Here is a 19,888-nt window from a genome sequence, read left to right as displayed (position 1 = left end):
ACAAGCCTCCCTCATCAATTCTTATGAGAGGTAGGTGCCTCCCTTCATTTTTCTAGGTTGGTGAGATGACAGCTCCTTCTTGTTTAGTTTCTGCCTGACCCCCTGAAGTCTCCCTGTGCCGAACAGATGCCAGAAAGCCTGCCCAGTGCCCAGGTGCCAGGGCTGAGCTCACAGGGTGGGTATGTAGGCAGGTGAGGGGAAAACAGCATAAATAACTAGATCTGGAGAGGTGTGCATGTGTACCTTTGTGTGTCTGTGTTTGTTCCTGCGTGCAAGAGTGCGTGTGTGGAGGTGGGTCCTGCCTTCCTGGACTCAGCCAGTTTGGGCAGTAAGATCATTGTTTATGACCCAGCCCACCATGCTCTGCCCAGGGCTCCCCCAGCCCAGCCCCAGCCCACCCCAGGGAATTGTAGCCTTGCAAGGATGTAGGAGGGGCATCCCCCGCCAACCAGGTCTTCACTCCCACCTCTCCACAGTCTTCTTTCCTGTCCCAGCTACTTTACCTGGCTTCTGAGACCTGTGAAGGAGGAAAGTAGGCGGGGAGGGGTGGGGTGAAAGGTGGGGGCAGTGGAGGGTAGTTATTTACAAAGCCTGTGCCCTGGGGACCCTTGTCCTGTACAACAATTACAGCCCCTTAATTAACTGAAATGCAGTCCACCTGTCGATGGAGGCCTGTCCCCCACTGAAGTTAGCCTGTGCCTGCCGCTGTCTAGTACTGGTTAATGAATATAAATCAGATAGTTTATAGTTAGCGAGCACGGAACAGGCTGGCAAGGGCCTGAATTCCAATGCAGAATGCCCAAGGATAGGAACATGCCCTCCATGGGCATGGGGGCCTGGACACCCACGGGGGTGGCACCAGGTGGGTAGGGGAGTGGGCAGTAAGCCAGCCTACCTTGCACTTGGGCTGTGAGTGCACACACAAGTGTGCAGTGCACACATGAGGCACACAGCACAGGCTTTCTTTGCATATACAACATTACATACCCACAAAAGTGAACAACACAGGCCCTCTACAAGATATACGGAAACAAGGAGGAAGTACAGCTCCCAGAAAACCCTGGCTCCTGCCTCTTCTGAAATCCGCAGAGCCTTAGCTCTGAGCAGCTTCTCTCTTCATGCTAGAGCCTATGCCCACTGCCCGCTGCAAGAGACAGGTGCAGTCTCACCCCCAGGCCAGCTCGCCACCTGATTCTGGGGATCAGCCCAGGTCCAGAATGCTGACTCAGTTTCCCCTCCCCAGGCTGGAGTCACTGAGCTGACTGCTGTGGTGGGGGTGGCAGTGGCTATGGAACCCTGGTACCAGGCAGGGAGGCTTCTAGAATGTGTGTGGGGATTTTACCCAAGGTCTTCACAGCTGCAGAGGAAATAGATTGACAAGGTCCTAGCCCAGGGCCAGGTTCATGGGCTGGTGATCTGTGTACAGAGCCCTGTGGTTAGAAGGTTTAATGGTTTAATGCTCTTCTGTCGCTATCTTGAAAGCCTTAATAATGTCTGAACAAGGGGCCTGCACTTTCATTTTGCATCGGGAACTACAAGTAGTGTAGCTGGTCCCATTCTCACCCCAGACATAGGGCCAATGGGAGAAGACTGTGTGAAAAGTGTGGGTATGGGGTTGTGGTGTTTACAGGGTCTCTGAACAGAGATCTAGCAATAGGGGTCACTTGTGGAAAGTACACTTTACCCAGACCTGAGGGTTCCTCCTGCTGGCTTTGTCACCTGGGGAAGGTCCCTCACCTCCCTGGGCCCCAGGTTCAGGCTTCCAAGGAGATGGCCTTTCAGCTCCCTTCTAGCTCAGCCTCTCCTCTTTGGGAAGAGTCCAGACCTCCTTGGAACCTTGGTTCACACACACATGCATGCACGCACATGCATGCACACATGCACACACACGCGCATACACGTACACACGCAACACATGCACACACCCACACACGTACGCACATGCACACACACACACGCACATGCACGCACACGCACACACGCAGGTACACACGCACACAGGCACACACATGCACACACACGCACACACACGCACGACAGAGCCAAATCTGCAACATAGAGTTGCATTATTGCCTCTGGAGAGATGGAGTGGGGTTGTCCCCACCCCCAGACAAGTCCTCACAAGCAGCTTCTAAAATCCAGAGACCAGCCAACACCTCCCCCTGAGTGGGTTTGTTTACTCCTCTACTAGCGGAGAGGGAAGGGATGGGGGTCCAGCAGCGGGGCGGGGCGGGGTGGGGGGGTAGGTAATGGCTTGGTGGGGGCAGATAAATAACTGTCATCCAGGGCTCACTGACACCCCTGCGTTCCGCCTGGCTAGTCTGCTTCTCCTGGGCTCCCCTGCTGGTAGAGCTACGGGGAGGAGGGGAGGGTGTGTGGGTTCTGGAGACAAAGGAAAATGATTCTATGACCATGGTGTGAGTGGTGGCGAGTGGGGCAGGGCCCAGGATGAGACAGTGTGGCCTGGATACCAGGCAGGGTGGCTGGGGGTGCGGGGCGGGGGGGTGGCATGCACAGGCAGAGCCCCCAAGTGGCTGAGGCTGGGTTCTGGTGCCGCAGACACAGACGAAGGCACCTGTCATGCGGTGGGGGGCTGAATGTCTGTCGCCAAGGGGGCCTCTCACACCTTGGGTGGCAGCAAGGGCCCCACAGCTGGCTAGCTCAAGGCTGCCCACAGCAGAGGTCTCTGGGCAGTGGCACAGGGCACTCCAGCCTCTCTTCCTGTGTGACAGCCCAGGAGAGGAGCAGTCACTTGGTCAGGCAGCTCTTCCATCTTGATGGCGCCAACGCAGGAGGTGGGAGGTGGTGGATGCCCAGCTAGGCCAGAGTCTCAAGCCTCACGGAGTGGGTCTTTCACAGAAGCATCTCTCAGTCCCGGCTAAGCTACTGTGAATATACCCATTCCATAGACGGAGAAGTAAAGAAAGAAGGCACTCACTCCCTGGAGACCTACAGTAAAACGAAGGTCAAAACCCAAGTGACTCCTCCCTGATTCCGGATTGGGGCCCTGCTAAGAAAGTAAACACCCCAAATCATCCCCAGTCCTCCCCAACAGACTCATCACATACACATCACATACACACACACACATACACTCATCACATACACCCAAGAGGTGGACAGGAAGTCCTTGTTCCTGTTAGACTTGAGAGAGGAGCCTGGAAGCTCCAATTCTTTGACAAGATTCCCCCTAACAATGTGTCCTGATAAACACTTTCCTGGGCCCGGAACATCTGCTGATCTTCACAGCCCCTGGGTGAGGAGGACTGGGAGGATGTCAGGAACTGAATTCACAAAGATTGCAGCCAGAGAAGGGGCCCGAAGGGGTTTGCACTGTGACTTAATTGGAGGTGAAATCCACCTTGACTCCCAGCCCAGAGCACCCCCATATCTGAGACACCCGGAGGATGCCCCAGCTTAGGAAGCTCAGCTCCCCGAGTTTGGAGTGGGGGCAGGCACAGGCAGGAGAGGTTTTTGTTTATTTGTTTCGGTGAGGATCTGGCCACCCTCCCTTCTGTGATAGAAAGGCCCAGTCCTCAATTTGGGGACACCACCTAAGATCAATCTCTAAGACACTCTCAGATGCTAAGGACTCTGTGGTCTTAATCAGGGAAGGCTCCTTGGGGGAGGCAAAATTGAAGGATGCTTTGATCAGGGCAAGGACAAGCCTGGGCAGAGATAGGAGATGTGTGCACAAGTGGCCAGCCCCTCGCTTTCCGCAGTCTCTGGGCTCAAGGGCAGCAGGCATGAAGCAGCCTCTTACCTTGATGTGAAATGAGGAATTGGGAGCTCAAGAAACCTGTGATCCTATTGAGGATACTGACAACAGCCCATCAGACAGAAAGATGGATAGCATGGGAGGCCCGTTCAGGCTCATCCCTGGCTCAGACTAGCAGACACAGGACGCCTTGGACAGGCTCCATCCAGGGCATCTGTGGGCACTGCCCCCTGGCTGAGGGCAAGCCAGCTTTGGTTCAGGCCCTTCCATTCCTCTTGGGAGCCTTGCTTAGCGCTCACTTCTTCCCCAAGGCCTCCTCAGACTGACCCCAGAATCCGCCCCCCACCCAAGCTTCCGCTTCGTCTCCTCCTCCCAGGATGCAGGGAGGCCGGGGGTACCACCAACACTCCCAGGCCATACGTGAATTCATCATCTTCGCGTCCTCTGTAGAACGTGGGAGAGAGGCGAGGGAGAGAGAATGAGAAAGAGGAAGGTGCTTGTCCACCCAGGTGTGCCGGGTAGAACTTGACGAGCCAAATTCTCCACCTGTGGGCTGGACAGAGCAGGACAAGCAGGACTGGAGAGCAGAAAGCCTAGGTTGATGTCCAGCCCAGCCACCCTGTCACCCGGAAAAAGCACCGTGACCTCAGAGGCTCTCAGTTCGCCCCCCTGTGCTGAAGCCCCCTCGGCAGGGATGTTGGGAACCACAGAGATAATATAGGGGAAGAGCCCGGCCATGGCCCTGGTTTATTATTAATTAGTTCTAATCGTAGAAGCGTCCGCTTACACATGGCGGGAGGGAGGCCCTTCTTTGGGCCATGCAGGTCCACAGTGCGATGCCAGCCCAGCCCAGCCCACGCTGCAGAATGTGTGTTTGGAGAGAGGCAAGGGAAGGGAGGGAAAGGTTGACTGCTTTTTTTCCCCTCCCTCCTTTAGCGTGGGTGACACTGGCGAGAAGCGAGCAGCTGACCCGGGTTTGAATTTAGAGTGTTCATTAATATGATATTATGCCATATGCTCCGCACACTGTCTCCCTCGAATGCAGCCGCCAATTTGCTGAGCAGCCCTAATTAGTAATGGTATAATGAGAGTATTCAGAGGGTAATGTGGTGGGTGGGGATGGAGGGACGGGACTGAGCCTGGCCGCCGGGGGAGGGGCAGATCTGGCTGCAGAGGGCTGGGGGACACTGCGGCAAGGGGTCGTCTTGACCCAGGGCTGGCCGAGGCCCAGGAGATGAGATACCTCCCCTTCCTTCCCAACGCCCACTCCGCTCCTCAGGGAACAGAGGCTCAAGGTTGTGGAGTGGGGTGTGTGGTGAGGGGGTGGACAGGGTAGAGGGAGAGGTGAGAGAGCCTGGGTGAAGGAGGAGGCAACGGGTGGTCCTTTGTTTTCAAACCAGAGGTGGATGACAGAGGAGAGGTGATGGTGGGGCGTGTGTGTGCCTGTGTGCATGTGTATGTGGTGTAGACTGTAAATCCCCTGAGTCTTTATCATGTGCCAGGCACTCTGCTGGCCCTTCAGAATTACCCAGCCAGGTGGTATAACTAATGCTATTTTTCAAATGGGGAAACTGAGGTTTAGGTAGATTCAAAGGTCAGTCAACTGGTGAGGGAGCAGAGGACTGGCAACCAGGACTGGCAGCTTCCAGAGCTGGATAAGCTTGCCTTGGCCATCATTGGCTGCTGTGGCCACGGAGGGGAAGGGTGGAGAGCACAGCGTGGGGCTGGGGATGGGCACAGGGCAGGAGCGAAGTGAGCCACATGCTCCTCATTCCTCCTTCTTCCTCTGTGCTTACCTGTCCCTCCCTTCCCTTCTCAGGCTGTAGCTTCCCAGCCCCCATCCCCAGGGGGAGACAGTTCCCAGGACTCCTATTTGAGGGGCCACTATATGTGAGGACCAGGATGTGCTCCACACCTTCAGCCATAGTCATGCCAGTGGCACCTTCAGCCTGGACATCTCCTGAGTGTGGGTTCGTGGGTGCGCAAACCTCAGAACCTCAGAACCCTGGTATTGTTCTCTCCCCTCTCCCTCTCAGCCTCCCTAAGCCTCATTTTCCCCATTTTTCATGCATCTCTGGGCTCAGGAAAACATCTGCCCCTTGCCACAGGCGAACCCCAACGAAGGACTGGGAGCCCCATGGGGCACGAAGTATTTGTGCCTCAGATTCGGGCTGCCCTGACCTCTCTGAGCCTCCCAAGGCCAACGGTGTCGGCAGGAGCAGGTGGGTGGACCCTAAAACCTGCCTTCTTCAGAGCCTATTGCCAGTGCCCCTCTCAGCCCCCCTTCTTCCCAGGCACGGCTGGGCAGTGCTCCCTCCCCAGGGGATCACAGCTCTCCCGCAAACCCACGCTCAGGAGATGAAATATTCATCACGTACATATTGGCTCCTCCAGCGGCTTTTAGGGAAAGCAAATGAGACTGACTCCGGGAAGGAAATGAGTGTGAGGCATGGGGGTGGAGGGGGGCGTGGCTAGGACAAGGGTGGGCAGTGCCTCCCAGCCTCCCTTTTCTGGATTCCAGCTTCTGGGACTGGGCTGCACCTTGCATTCCTGGTGCCCCCAACCTACCACATCCCTGCCTTCCAGCCACCCCATCTCTTCTCCTGGAAGACAGGAGGTTCATAGTTTTCCTCTAACATACCCAGGCAGAGCTGCAAGGCATGGATCCATCCATCCAATAGTCACTCTCAGCCAGGTGCGTTCCAGAGACCTAGCTTATAGGGCCAGACAGGAACCCTCAGGGAGGACACAGGCAACCAACAGGCCACAGACATATGAGACCGTGTCAGGTGGTGTCTGAGGGAAACGAAATATCTATTTTAGCTTGGTGGGCAAGGAAGGCCTCTGAAAAGGTGGCATGGGAGCTGAGATCTGGATGGCGAAGACAAACTTTCCAGGCGGAGGAAATAGCAGTGCAAAGGCCTGGAGGAGGGAATGAGCTTACAGCGTTCAAGGAGCAGCCAGAGTCCAGTGTGGCTCTGATCCAGGGGGGCGAGTGAGTTTGAAGAAGATCTCAGGGGCATGATCACACAGTCTCACAGGCCACAGAAGTCTTGGGGTTTATTCTAAGAGCAAATGAAAGCATTTGGGGGCAGCAGAAAGAGCACTGGATTTGAAGCCAAGGACCTGGGTGTGAGCTTGATCAGGTCACTTAACCTTCTAGCCTCAGTTTCCTCATCTGTGAAATGGTGATGGGGAAGTGCAGGCCACAGGGCTGTTACGAGGATTAAATAATGTCATTTATGTGAAAGTCTGCCACTCTTCAATGTTGGTAGTGAAGCAGTTCCTTCTGCCTGTCCCTGGGTAGTCCCCCAAATGTCTGCCTGGACAATACCAAGTTGCAGAATCTCAGAACCCTGGCATAGAGCAGGGCTTTAGAAGTCTGTCACTCAGTGAGTATTTATTGAGGAACTATGTGCCTTGTGCTAGGCTTGGTGCAAGATGCAGCCGTGAACAAGATAGATTCAGAGTGTGGACTGGAGAGATCTGGACCAGCCCATTTCATAGATAGGCAAGGTCAAGGCCACACAGTGCTGACCAGAAAGAGAACCCAGGCCCCCCGACCACCAGTCCAGTGTTCTCCCCAAGATGCAGACAATGGGTGCCCTTCCTTTCCTTTGCCTGACATTTTCTCCCACACTAGGGCTTGCTTGGGAGAGAAGGCAGCTCCCTGTCCCCGTGGCCTTGCTTGGATGAGGAGGAATTCTGAAGGGACCAGGATCGGCTGTGATGGGCCTTGAAGGATAGATGTGATTTGGCTGTGAGGAATGGAAGGACACTGGGCAGAAGGGACAGCAAAGCCCTGGAGACAGACAAGTGTTGACCTGCATGTTAAATAGCAGGCGGGGCTCTCAGAGAGGAAGAAGAGGCCAGCATGCCAGATCTGGAAGGGCAGGCGGGCGCCATTTCTCCAGCAGTGGGGGCCGCTGGAGCTGTAAGTTAGGGAGTGGTGCTGGCAGGATGCTCCTGAGAGAGCGCTGGCAGCTCAGGGCGACTGCATCAGAGGTGGGAAATGGAGGTAGAGAGACCTCTGAGCAGCCTAGTGCAGTGGCCCGCGTAAGTGCTAGCAAGGACTCCACTAGAGCAGCAGCAGGGGCAAAGAAGAGAAAGGAGCCATTCGAGAGGCTTTCCAGAGGAGGAGGCCACCAGCCACCCTGATGGAGTGTGGGGAGCAGGAGGGAGGGAGGAGACAAAGAGCTTTCAGAAGATGGGAGATTTAGCTGTCCTTTATTGATTCCACGAACATTTCCTGAGCACCTGCAGAGGGTCAGGCCCTGTGCCATTCAGGCAGGAAATTGAGCAAAATTGTGCAAAACCTGAAGGCTCGTGATTTGTGCTCTTGTTGGGATGGGAAAGGGGAAATGGGGGCGAGGGGTCGTTAGGCAGCTGGCACCACTCTCAGAGCCTTGATTTTGCTCTCTGTGAAATGGACAGCTCTGAGGGCCAGGGAAACACCGGCTGGGCTGGGCGCTTCAGGAAGGTGCTTCTGGATAGATACCACCATGGAATTCTGGAGACTCAGCCTATGGAAATGAGAAGGGAGTGGGTGAGGAGAATGGGACTCCCCTTTGAGGCTGGGGAAGCAGACCCACGTAGGGGAGGGAGGAGCCTTGTTGGGGGTTGTGTTCCTCTCAGGATTGTGGGGATGGGGTCTCAGGGCCTCCCACTTCCCACCTGGGGAAAAAGACCCAGAAAAAGAACACCCCAGGAGCAGGGAATCTGGCAGTGATTCTTTCAGTGACAGCAGCAGCAGCAGTAGCTAATGTTTCCCGGGTCCGTTACATGCATTAGGTCAGCCAATCCTCACTGTGTCTCTGGAAGCAGGTGCTGATAGCGTTCCCATGTTCCAGATGAGGACACTGAGACCCAGACTGCTGAGAATATTCACAGAGCCAGGACTGGAACTCAGGCTGCCTGACTCCACGTTAGGCACATTAGCTCTTCTCAGATCCCCTCTTCTTCTTCTTCTTCTTTTTTTCTTTTCTTTTTTTTGAGACAGAGTCTCCCTCTCTCACCCAGGTTAGAGTGGAGTGGCGCGATCTTGGCTCACTGCAACCTCTGCCTCCCAGGTTCAAGCAATTCTCCTGCCTCAGCTTCCTGAGTAGCTGGGATTACAGGTGCCCACCACCACACCTGGCTAATTTTTGTATTTTTAGTATTTCACCATGTTGGTGGGGCTGGTCTCGAACTCCTGACCTCAAGTGATCCTCCTGCCTTGGCCTCCCAAAGCACTGGGATTACAGGCATGAGCCACTACCCCCGGCCTCAGGTCCCCTCTTCTGATAACCCATCCAGGACCTGCAGCCCACCTGCCCTGCCATCCTCTCTAGGGCCTGCCCCACACCAGCGAGCCAGTAACCGCACCTTCCCACTGCAGTGAGAGGGCAGCAGAATCCAGGGCGCCTTTCTGGGAGCAGATAGCTTTGAGGAGAATGCTGCAGGAGAGGTCAAATGTGAACTGGCCACGATGGGGGCACGGAGGGGATCCCAGGAGTGCCTTTGCACCACCTGAGCAAAAGTGAGGTGTTCCCTCCCTGTGCTCTGGGGCTGGGGGGGCTGAGCCCCGAGGGGCCCCCTTTCTTCTCATCCTGTTACCAGTTTTCCAGGAAGTTTGGAGTCTCCCCCTGCCCTCCCCCACCTACCAGGGTGAAGGTTTGTGGGGAATGTTCTCCCGCAGAACTCGGCATGAAATAAATTCCATTCTTACTCTGCAAATGACACTGCACATAAATATTCAGTAAATTAGCAGCACGCTTTTATAGATTTATCAGTCATTGCAGGCACAAAATGACAGGCAATGTTGTAGCTGAAATATTAATGCTGACAAATTAATGATTTCTGAGTAAATGATGTCATTTTTGCACCGTTTCATTAAAATTTACTCACTTCTGCTTCATTTCTGGACCTAAAAAAATTAAAATCATTTCCTTCTCTCTTTCTTCTTTCTTTTTAGTGTGGGATTGGTTCCCAAACCTGAGAGGGATATAAATTTTCCCCAGAAGCACCCCAAAACAGAGGTGGGAAGCCAGGCAGGGCTAGCATTCCTCACCCCAAGCTCTAGGGAGGGGCTGGGGAGAGACCCCTGCTGGGTCCCAGAGATGGTTCTTGGGCCTCCACCATTGGTCTAGCTGGAACATAGCAAAACAGTGTCTTTGGGTCAAGCCTGGATTGGGGTGGGGGGTTATAGGGGGAAGTGGGGAGGAAGCTTGGGAGGGGGTGTGTCCTGGGAGGGCACCTGGGAGAAGAGGGTTTGGAAGGAAGTCATGCACCTGTCTTTGCAAGCTTTAAGTGCCTCCATCATCCTCATCATATTTGGCCTCCTTCTTGCAATAAATGTGGGGAATAATCAATTCTCGCAACCTCCCATAGTAGGTAAAGGGGAAATGCCAACTGTGTAAATATGCCCGACAACCCCCCTCACCGAGGCTCTAGGGAATGGACAGATGACCACTTACTCGCAGCGTGACCTTGGGCGAGTACTGTCGCCTCTCTGAGCCTCAGTTTCCCCTTCTCTGACGATCTCCTCATTTCTCAGGGTTCTTGGGAGGATGAATGTAATGGCATGGACAAGGCACAGGACAAGTTCCCCAGTCGGACAGCCCCTCCAGACGCAGCTCCCAGCTGCTCCCCGCACACGGTCCCCGGGAGGGCGAGAGGGGCTGCGGGGGAGGAGCAGCGAGGCCCCTGCCCGCCTGGATCGGCCCAGGTGACCCGGCCGGACCCTGAGGAGCTGGGGGCACCAGGAGCAGACGGGTCCTGGAGCCCCGCGCCCCCGGCTGCCTCGGCGCGCTCAACGTGGCCAAAGGCAAAGCAGTTCGCTCGGCCCGGGCCAGCGCCGCGGGAATGGAGCGCGGCGAGGCCGAGAGGCGAGGCGAGGCGGACACAAAGGAGAGGCGAGGGAGGCGAGCGCGCGGCGCCGGCGCCCTGGCCAAGGCGTATCGGACAATCTCCGGGCTAATTCGTGTCAGGGCCGGCCTCCTATCTCCCGCCCGGCTCCCCGGCCGCTGATAAAATTGAAGTGGAAATGAAGTTGGATGCTCTGGAGCACCCGCGCGGCTGTGGGGGTGGCGGGGGCTCCGTCCGGGGCAGCTGCGCCCTCCGCGGGCGCCCTTGGCGCTGCCCTTGGCCAGGCCGCGGGGATGGAGCGGGAGAGCCGGGCGGGGAGGGGAGGACGCCGCCGCGCAGACCCCCTGCCCGGCGGTTCCCGATCCTGTCCCCGTCCAGATGAACATTTACCCAGCAGTGGGAGCGGGGTGGAAATGCGGGGAGCGGCCCGAATGCGGGAGACGGCAAGGCAAGGACACCCTCGTTTAATGAGCGCTTATTAAGTGCCAGGCTCGGAGCCAGGTGTTTAAAGTGAGTTATGCGCTCAGTTACCCCTCCCCCCACCATATGAGGTGGATCGAGTGATTGCTTCCATTTTTACGGATGCTGACTTGGACACCCAGAGTCTCAGCCGGCCCAGGGACAGCTAGCAGAATGGCTGCATTCGCACCCAGGCTCTGGCACACTGCAGCTGCGGCGCGTCACCACCGCACTAGCCCGCACTTGGGAGCGCCCCGAATAGGCAGAGAGATGACACAGAAGCAGGGCCGGGCGCTGGCAGTTCTGCAAGCCCGTTAGGACGCAGGCCTTGCAGCCATTAGGTCCATCCCCTGAGCTCAGAACCGCCTGAGGGGTGGATCTTACTCCCAGGTGAGGAAACCTGAGGCTGAAAGGTGGTGGAGGGAATCGAGCTGGGAACCAGGGGAGGCGGACTGCACTGGCCCGCTGAGTTATCTTTCTGACCCCCAAAGTCCAAATCAGCTCGAGATGAAGTCTCCGCTGCCCTGTACTTTCTTGAGGGAGACCAGTGGGGGCCTGGAGGTGATGACTGGCTCTTGTAATGCTATTCGGCCATTATTCACGTATATTATTTTCCATTTTATTTATTTATAAATTGGCCCCTGCCTACTTCACCCCTATCAGTGTCTGCCCGCTCCTGACTCTCTCTGGCTACAGCCTCACCGCCAGTCTAGGCTTTCAATGGTTCCTTTCTGCCCCAAAGCCTTCACACGTTTTCTTCCCTCAGCTTCTCTCCTGGGCAGCTTTTTCATCTCTCCATTCTCATGATCTTTTTAATAATCCTTTTAATGGCATTGATATACGTTGATATACCAAAATGTATAGACTTTATTTTTATTTAGTTGGACGTGGAATGGTAGCCCAGTGTGGACAATTATTAGGTCACAAGAGACGTCTTAAAAACATTCCAGAGAATTACCATATACAGAACGTTATGGTTCTCAGCTCATAATGCAATAAAATTAGAAATCAACCACCAAAAGAGAGTTACCAAAACCCTACATGTTTTGAAATGAAAAACTTGACCTCGGCCGGGCGCAGTGGCTCATGCCTGTAATCCCAGCACTTTGGGAGGCCAAGTGGGCGGATCACGAGGTCAGGAGATGGAGACCATCCTGGCCAACATGGTGAAATCCGTCTCTACTAAAAATACAAAAATTAGCTGGGTGGGGTGGTGGGCGCCTGTAATCCCAGCTACTTGGGAGGTTGAGGCAGGAGAATGACTTGAACCCGGGAGGCAGAGGTTGCAGTGTGCCGAGACCACGCCACTGTAATCCAGCCTGGTGACAGAGCAAGACTCCGTCTCAAACAAACAAACAAAAAACAAACAAACAATAACTTCACCTCAACATTATCTGTGGGTTAAAAAGAAATCAACAAAAATTATTAAATATTTAGAATTGAATGATAATGAATGCACTTAATGTCAACATTTACAGGGTGCAGTTAAAGCAGTGCTTACAGGGAAATGTATAGACTTCAGTGCGTGTATTGTGATCATTAGAGCTCTTACTAGCTCTGCATTCTGTGCAAATCTAGAGTAGGCATCTTCTGTTATTTTTTTCTTTCAAAGCTCTTGTCACACGTACAATTGCCCCTTGGTATCTGTGAGAGGTTGGTTCTAGGACTCCCCTCGGATACCAAAATTCGAGGATGCTCAAGTCCCTTGTATAAAATGGTGGAGTATAATATTTACATATAATCTATGCATATCCTCCCTTAGACTTTAAATCAAGTCTGACTACTTATAACACCCAATACAATGTAAATGCTATGTAAATAGTTGTTATATTACATTGTTTTTTATTGCTGTATTTTTTTTTTTTACTTATTTATTCTTGAGACAGTTTCACTCCGTCACCCAGGCTGGAGTGCGGTGGCGCAATCTTGGCTCACTGCAACCTACACCTCCCAGGTTCAAGCAATTCTCCTGCCTCAGCCACCCCAGTAGTTGGGATTACAGGTGCACACCACCATGCCTAGCTGATTTTTTTGTATTTTTACTAGAGACAGGGTTTTACCATGTTGGCCAGGTTGGTTTTGGACCCCTGACCTCAGGTGATCTGCCTACCTCGGCCTCACAATGTGCTGCGATGACAGGCGTGAGCCATTGTGCCCGGCCTATTCTTTTTTTTTTAAGAGTATTTTTGATCCATGGCTGATTGAACCTGTGGATGCAGAACTTGCAGGTACAGAGGAACAACTGTATGTATTTATTTATAAGCATACTTCTTAGTGTCTGCTCCCCTGACTAGACTGTACACTCTATCAGGGTAGGAACTGTAGCTGTTTTGCTTGTCACTGTATTGCCAGCGTTTAACACAAAGCTACACACATAATAGGTGTCCAATAAATATTTCTTAAATATGTGTTTGTCTAAGAAATATGTGTTTATTATTAATGAAGTCACACCCTATTCTCTTTAAAAACGGATTTGAGATTGTCTGTAATAAATACATATAACATGTTAGGCCAGGCACGGTGGCTCCCACCTGTAATCCCAGCACTTTGGGAGGCCAAGGCAGGCAGATCACCTGAGGTTAGGAGCTCAAAACCAACCTGGCTAACACGGCAAAACCCCATCTCTACCAAAAATACAAAAATTAGCCAAGCACGGTGGCAGGCGCCTGTAATCCCAGCTACTTGGGAGACTGAGGCAGGAGAATCACTTGAACTCGGGAGGTGGAGGCTGCAGTGAGCCGAGATCGCACCATTGTACTCCAGCCTGGGTGACAGAGCAAGACTCCATCTCAAAAGAAAAAAAAAAAAGCCATATAGGATGCCAGTTAAAAGGACAGCTTAGCAGCAGGATGAGAAAATTGGGAGAAGAAGTGGGAGAGTCAGTAACTGAGTGTGTATTGTGGGGCGGGGGGGCGGGGGCAGCATTGGGAATGCTAGTTCCCAGGTAACCTTCGCTCCTCCCAGGGCCAGGCTTGGGGGCAGCTAAGAAGGTGGCAGGAGGAGGGGGATAAGGTACTGGTTGAGAAGTCAGACTGAAGAGGTTGAGTAGATTCCCTGCAGATAGTAGAGGAGGGATGTTGGGGGTTGACCTTTGGGAGTGGAGAACAGGGCTCTCACACCAAGTAGGCGGGTGGTGGGGAAAAAGGTGGAGGTGAGAAGCAGAACATTTTTGTTCATTCATTCATTCATTCATTCATTCATTTCACAGTCTGAGGGACTATGTGAATAGAGGCTGCAGAGCTGGGTTAGAATGGACCAGTGGCTGCATTGGCTTTGAGCTCCCAGCACCAAGGTCTGGTGCCCTCTGGGGTAGCTGGATGGGCCCCTTCTGTGCTCAGCAAAGGACAAGAGTCTAGTTCCACAAAACACCCAATTCAGTTTTAGTTCAGCTCAACCGTCCACCTAGCTTGACTTTCTGGTCCTCAGTTTCTGTGTTCACAATAGCTCCTTCTTGAGAGGACACTTGATACTATTCTTCTCACTGAGTGGGACAGCTTTGATGAGCCATTTTTATGGCTCTTTTTAAGTGCATTGCCAAAGAGTTATTTTCAAAGAGGGGTTTACCTGAAGAAACCTCCACCTGGAGCGAGAAGACTAGTATCGGAGTCCTGGCTCTGTCACTTTCCAGTTGTGTAACTTTGGACAAGTTGCTTTCCCTCTCTGAACCTCAGTTTTCAACTGTAAAAATGGGTATAAAAAGAGTAATGTCTGCCTCACAGGATAAATAGCATAAATATAGGTAAAAAGCAATGAACTTGTGTGTGTGTGCATGTGTGTGTGTGCTAGGAGGGTGTGTAAACTATAAAATCTTATGCAAATATCAAATTTTAGTATTATTCAAGGTCTCCCCTTTGCCTGTAGTTCCTCCCTGTGTCCACCCCCTTGAGATCCTTTGTGAATCCCACCATAAACTTTGCATACCCTCTTCTCCCCTGGCTGAGTCTAAATTAATTTCTCCCAATGGTGTCTTCCAGCCACACCATATAAGGACCTCTCTGGGGCCCTCTCACTAGGTGCCCTGTATAGGAATTCCTTGTGCTTGGTCTGCCCTTTCTGAACTACATATCCATGACATTTAGAGTTAGAAACTGAAGAAAGTGACCTCGACTTAACATTTCTGGATCCCTAAGATCTAGCATGGTGCCCTACACATAGCAAGAGCTCAAAAAATGTCTGTTGGCCGAGTGTGGTGGCTCGAGTCTATAATCCTTGCACTTTGGGAGGCCGAGGCAAGAGGATTGCTTGAGGCCAGGACTTCAAGACCAACCTGGGAAACATAGGGAGATCTAATCTCTATAAAAAATTATAAAAAATTGGCCAGGTATGGTGGCATGCATCAATAGTCCTACCTACTTAGGAGGCTGAGGCAGGAGGATTGCTTGAGCTCAGGAACTTGAGGCTGCAGTGAGCTGTGATCACGCCATTGCACTCCAGCCTGGGCAACAGAGACCATGTCTCAAAAAAAAAAAAAAAAGGCTGTAGTACTAAATGCTCTTAAGCCTTTGTTAATTTATCCAAACCAATATTTTCCAGGGTAAACATTTTTTAGAGTTTTGTGAATTACAGAAACAGTAAAACACATTAAATACAATTTTGAGGTAAGAAAAAAATTATCTAGAATCCTACCACTAGTAGTCAATGCTTATTTTCATTCTTGTTTATTCTTTTCCAGTCTTTGTTTTTATGCCTGAAGATTTTACATTGCTGCTAATATCACGTGTTTCATGTTCTTTTTTCCATTTCACATTATCTCAAACATTTGTGTACTTTCTACATTTTCATAATGATGTTTTTAATGGCATAGAGTAGATGTACCAAAATTCATATGTTTTTCCCCAATCACACATGGAACTGTTACTAGAATTACGTATTAGATCACAGAGGAACTCTCAAAACATTCCAGAGAATCAACATTATACAGAACATGTTTTCAGACCACAATGCAATAAAATTAGAAATCAACCACAGAAAAAGCAAGCTATCAAAACCTTCTACGTTATGAAACAAAAAACCCCCCAAACTTCTAAATAATTCATAGTTAAAGAGTAAACCAATGTCAATTAATTAAATATTTAGAATTAAATGATAATGAGGCCAGGAGTGGTGGCTCACGACTGTAATCCCAGTACTTTGGGAAGCTGAGATGGGTGGATCACCTGAGGCCAGGAGTTCAAGACCAGCCTGGCCAACATGGAGAAACCTCATCTCTTCTAATATTATGAAAATTAGCCAGGCATGGTGGTGTGCACCTGTAATTCTAGCTACTCGGGAGGCTGAGGCAGGAGAATTGCTTGAACCTGGGAGGCGGAGGTTGCAGTGACCTGAGATTGCACCATTGCACTTCAGCCTGGGTGACAGAGTGAGACCCTGTCTCAAATAATAATAATAATAATAATAATAATAATAATAATAATAATAATAATAATAATGAAAAGGTTAGAAATTCGAAACCACTATATATGTATACTGGAATTAAACTTTTCTTTAACCTTTATTTTAGGTTCAGGGGTACATGTGCAGGTTTGTTATACAGGGAAACCCATGTTACGGGGGTTTGTTGAACATTTAAGTAAACAGATGGGACCCAGAGTTTCACTGCTCCCAGCAAGTGGTTGTAATGGGAGGTTATACATAAGCAAAGCATTGAACTTGAAGTTGAATGATCCATGTGGTAATGGATGAGAGGTGGAGACAGCAGATGAACTTATGTTTAGCTCAATAGAAATACAGATGATTACATATAGAATTTTGTATAGATATGTGTGGATAAATGGTCAGTATACACACATATATTTCTTCGCCTTGCCAACTGAGGGCCTAGAAGCAATGACCACCAGTAGCAACAATCACACCTAGTGCTCAGATCTTGGTTTCTAATACCATTCTCCAGTGAAAAGAACCAGGGTTCTTGGAAAAACGTCTGATTCTAGGACTAGACAGGAAATATACAAGATGAGCCTGGAGCATCTTTTAGTGCCAAAAAATAAGGAAATGCTCAGATATAAAACAACTCACATTGATGAGGGTATGTCTAAGACACACAGGAGCCCACCGAAAGTGCTCCCAGTGGCCAAGGCTGGAATAATTTGAGCAACAAAATAAATAACACAGTATTGGATTATAATCCAAAGTAAATAAATATCCATGAATCCATACTGATACAAATACATGGTTGAATAAATAAATTAATGGGGAGAATAGACAAGCCTCCTGTGCAGAGGAATTTCAATTATGTAGAGGCTCTGCCTTCCAGGAGGTGGAACATAACTTCCTATTCCTTATGTGTGGGCTTAGCATAGTGATTTTCTTCCAAAAAGTACATTATGGGTGGGGCGTGGTGGCTCATGCCTGTAATCCTAGCACTTTGGGAGGCCGAAGCGGGTGGATCACTTGAGTCAGGAGTTCAAGAACAGCCTGGCCAACATGGCGAAACCCTGTCTCTACTAAAAATGCAAAAATTAGCCAGGCCTGGTGGCAGGTGCCTGTAATCCCAGCCCCTTGGGAGGCTGAGGCAGGAGAATTGCTTGAACCCAGGAGGCGGAGGTTGCAGTGAGCTGACATCGCGCCACTGCACACTAGCCTGGGTGACAGAGCAAGACTCTGTCTAAAAAAAAAAAAAAAAAAAGTACATTATGGAAGGGGTGATGGAGGAGGAGTAACTTTACAGTAGAGAAACCTGACAAGCACTACCTTAGCTGTGTGATCAAGGTTAACATCAACAGCGATATCCTATCAATAGTATAAGCCCTTGGTATGATGTCATGAGAATGACACTTTACTTCTGTGATCTCCCTCTCAAAAGAACCATAACCTTGTGGCTTGCACCTGTAATCCCTGCACTTTGGGAGGCCAAGGTGGGCCGATCACCTGAGGATCACCTGAGGTCAGGAGTTCAAGACCAGCCTGGCCAACATGGTGAAACCTCATCTCTACAAAAATACAAAAATTAGCTGGGTGTGGTGGCCAGCACCTGTAATCCCAGCTACTCGGGAGGCTGAGGCAGGAGAATCACTTGAACCTGGGAGGCAGAGGTTGCAGTGAGCCGAGATCGTGCCATTGCACTCCAGCCTGGGTGACAGAGCGAGACTCCATCTCAAAACAAACAAACAAACAAACAAACAAACATACAAATATAACCTCAGTGTAAACATGAGAAGACTATCAGATGAATCCCAGTTGAGGAACATTCTACAAAATACCTGACCAGTACTCCTTAAAACTGTTAAGGTCATGAAAAACAAGGAACACCGGAGATACTGTCACAGACAAAAGGGGCCGAAGGAGACATGATGATTAAATGTAACGCAGCATCCTGGATGGGATCCTGGAATCGAGAAAGGACATTAGGTTCCTTCAATCCCATCCATGTTGTTGCAATTGACAGGATCTTCCTGAGGCAGGAGGATCATTCTTTTTTGTGGCTGAATAATGTTCCGTTGTGTATACATAATACATTTTCTTTATCCATTCCTCTGTTGATAGACACTTAGGCTGATTCCATGTCTTGGCTATTGCGAATGGTGCCACAATAAACATGCAACTGTGGGTGTCTCTTCAAAAGACTAATTTTCTTTCTTTTGGATATATACCACTAGGGATTGCTGGATTTTACATTGCTCCTTTCTCTCCTGGATCTCATATAATAAATAAAATAATAAATATTCCAAAAAGAAACAGGAAAAGGACATCAGGTAAAAACAGAGGAAATCTGAATTAAAGTATGGGTTTTAATTAATAATAATGTATTGGAGCTGGGTGTGGTGGCTCACGCCTGTAATCCCAACACTTTGAGAGGCTGAGGTAGAAGAATCACTTGAGTCCAGGAGTTCAAGACCAGCCTGGGCAACATAAAGAGACCCCATCTCTTAGCCAGGTGTGGTGGCGTGTGCCTGTGGTCCCAGCTACTCGGGAGGCTGAGGCAGGAGGATCACTTGAGCCCAGGAGGTCAAGGCTGCAGTGAGACGTGATTGCACCACTGCACTTTAGCCTGGGTAACAGAGTAATAATAATAATAATAATAATAATAATAATAATGTATTGTGGTTCATTAATAATGACAAATATATCATACTAATATAAGATGTTAAGTAAGGGAAATTGAGAGGGGTTATATGGAAACTTTCCAGTTCCTATCTTCATAATTTTTCTTTAAATCTAAAACTATTACAAAATGAGATGCTTATTTTAAAATGATAATGAAAGTCTTGGGTAAAATTTCTAAGGAGCAGTTAAAGCCGTATTTCGAGGGAAATTTATAAACTTAAAATGCATGTGTGTTATAGTCATTAATACTGTTCCCCAAACATTCCCAGCTCTTTGCCTTGTGGCACATGATAGGCCTGCATTTCCTGGTCTCTTTCAGTTACATGGGGCCAATGAGTTGTGAGCTGAAGTGAAGTGTGTCACTTCTAGGAGGACACATTTAATGATTGGTACAAGACCATCCAGCACTCTCTTTCTCTCTTCCATGGCAATCACCAACATTTCAGATAGTGGCTGCTCCATTAGCTGAGGTCCTAGCATGGACATGACAAAGAGCACAGCCCCTGGCCAACCTGTGTTGGGCCAGCAGCATGAAGGAAAGGCTCCACGGAGCAGAGCTCACCTTGCAAGGTTATGTGCATAAAATATAAACTTTGTTTTTTAAGTCACATGATTGTTGGAACTCTCATAATAGCAGCTTGGGTTCTTAACATCCTAATTAACACAGGAATAGATAAATAAACCAATAAAACAGATCAGAGGACCCGAGAACAGATTTCTATCTATATATAAGAATGTAGCATATGTTAGAGATGTCACCACTAATCATTAGGGAAAAGAAAGACTATTTAATAACAGAGCTGTGACATGTCATTAACAAAA

At 50.2% G+C, this 19,888-nt stretch overlaps 4 annotated features.

Moving 5' to 3' along the window:
- Positions 1,412-1,917: an enhancer, noted in NCBI's record as "H3K4me1 hESC enhancer chr17:35174429-35174934 (GRCh37/hg19 assembly coordinates)". NCBI's record gives its function as "activates a minimal SCP1, AML or CMV promoter by ChIP-STARR-seq in naive H9 embryonic stem cells {active_cell/tissue: H9 hESC(naive)}" and the evidence as "EXISTENCE:reporter gene assay evidence [ECO:0000049][PMID:30033119]".
- Positions 1,918-2,423: an enhancer, noted in NCBI's record as "H3K4me1 hESC enhancer chr17:35173923-35174428 (GRCh37/hg19 assembly coordinates)". NCBI's record gives its function as "activates a minimal SCP1, AML or CMV promoter by ChIP-STARR-seq in naive and primed H9 embryonic stem cells {active_cell/tissue: H9 hESC(naive and primed)}" and the evidence as "EXISTENCE:reporter gene assay evidence [ECO:0000049][PMID:30033119]".
- Positions 5,039-5,751: an enhancer, noted in NCBI's record as "H3K4me1 hESC enhancer chr17:35170595-35171307 (GRCh37/hg19 assembly coordinates)". NCBI's record gives its function as "activates a minimal SCP1, AML or CMV promoter by ChIP-STARR-seq in primed H9 embryonic stem cells {active_cell/tissue: H9 hESC(primed)}" and the evidence as "EXISTENCE:reporter gene assay evidence [ECO:0000049][PMID:30033119]".
- Positions 5,752-6,464: an enhancer, noted in NCBI's record as "H3K4me1 hESC enhancer chr17:35169882-35170594 (GRCh37/hg19 assembly coordinates)". NCBI's record gives its function as "activates a minimal SCP1, AML or CMV promoter by ChIP-STARR-seq in primed H9 embryonic stem cells {active_cell/tissue: H9 hESC(primed)}" and the evidence as "EXISTENCE:reporter gene assay evidence [ECO:0000049][PMID:30033119]".

This window comes from Homo sapiens, chromosome 17 (genome assembly GCF_000001405.40).
Source record: "Homo sapiens chromosome 17, GRCh38.p14 Primary Assembly".
NCBI lineage: Eukaryota > Metazoa > Chordata > Mammalia > Primates > Hominidae > Homo > Homo sapiens.
This window is presented reverse-complemented; position numbering and strand designations above follow the sequence as displayed.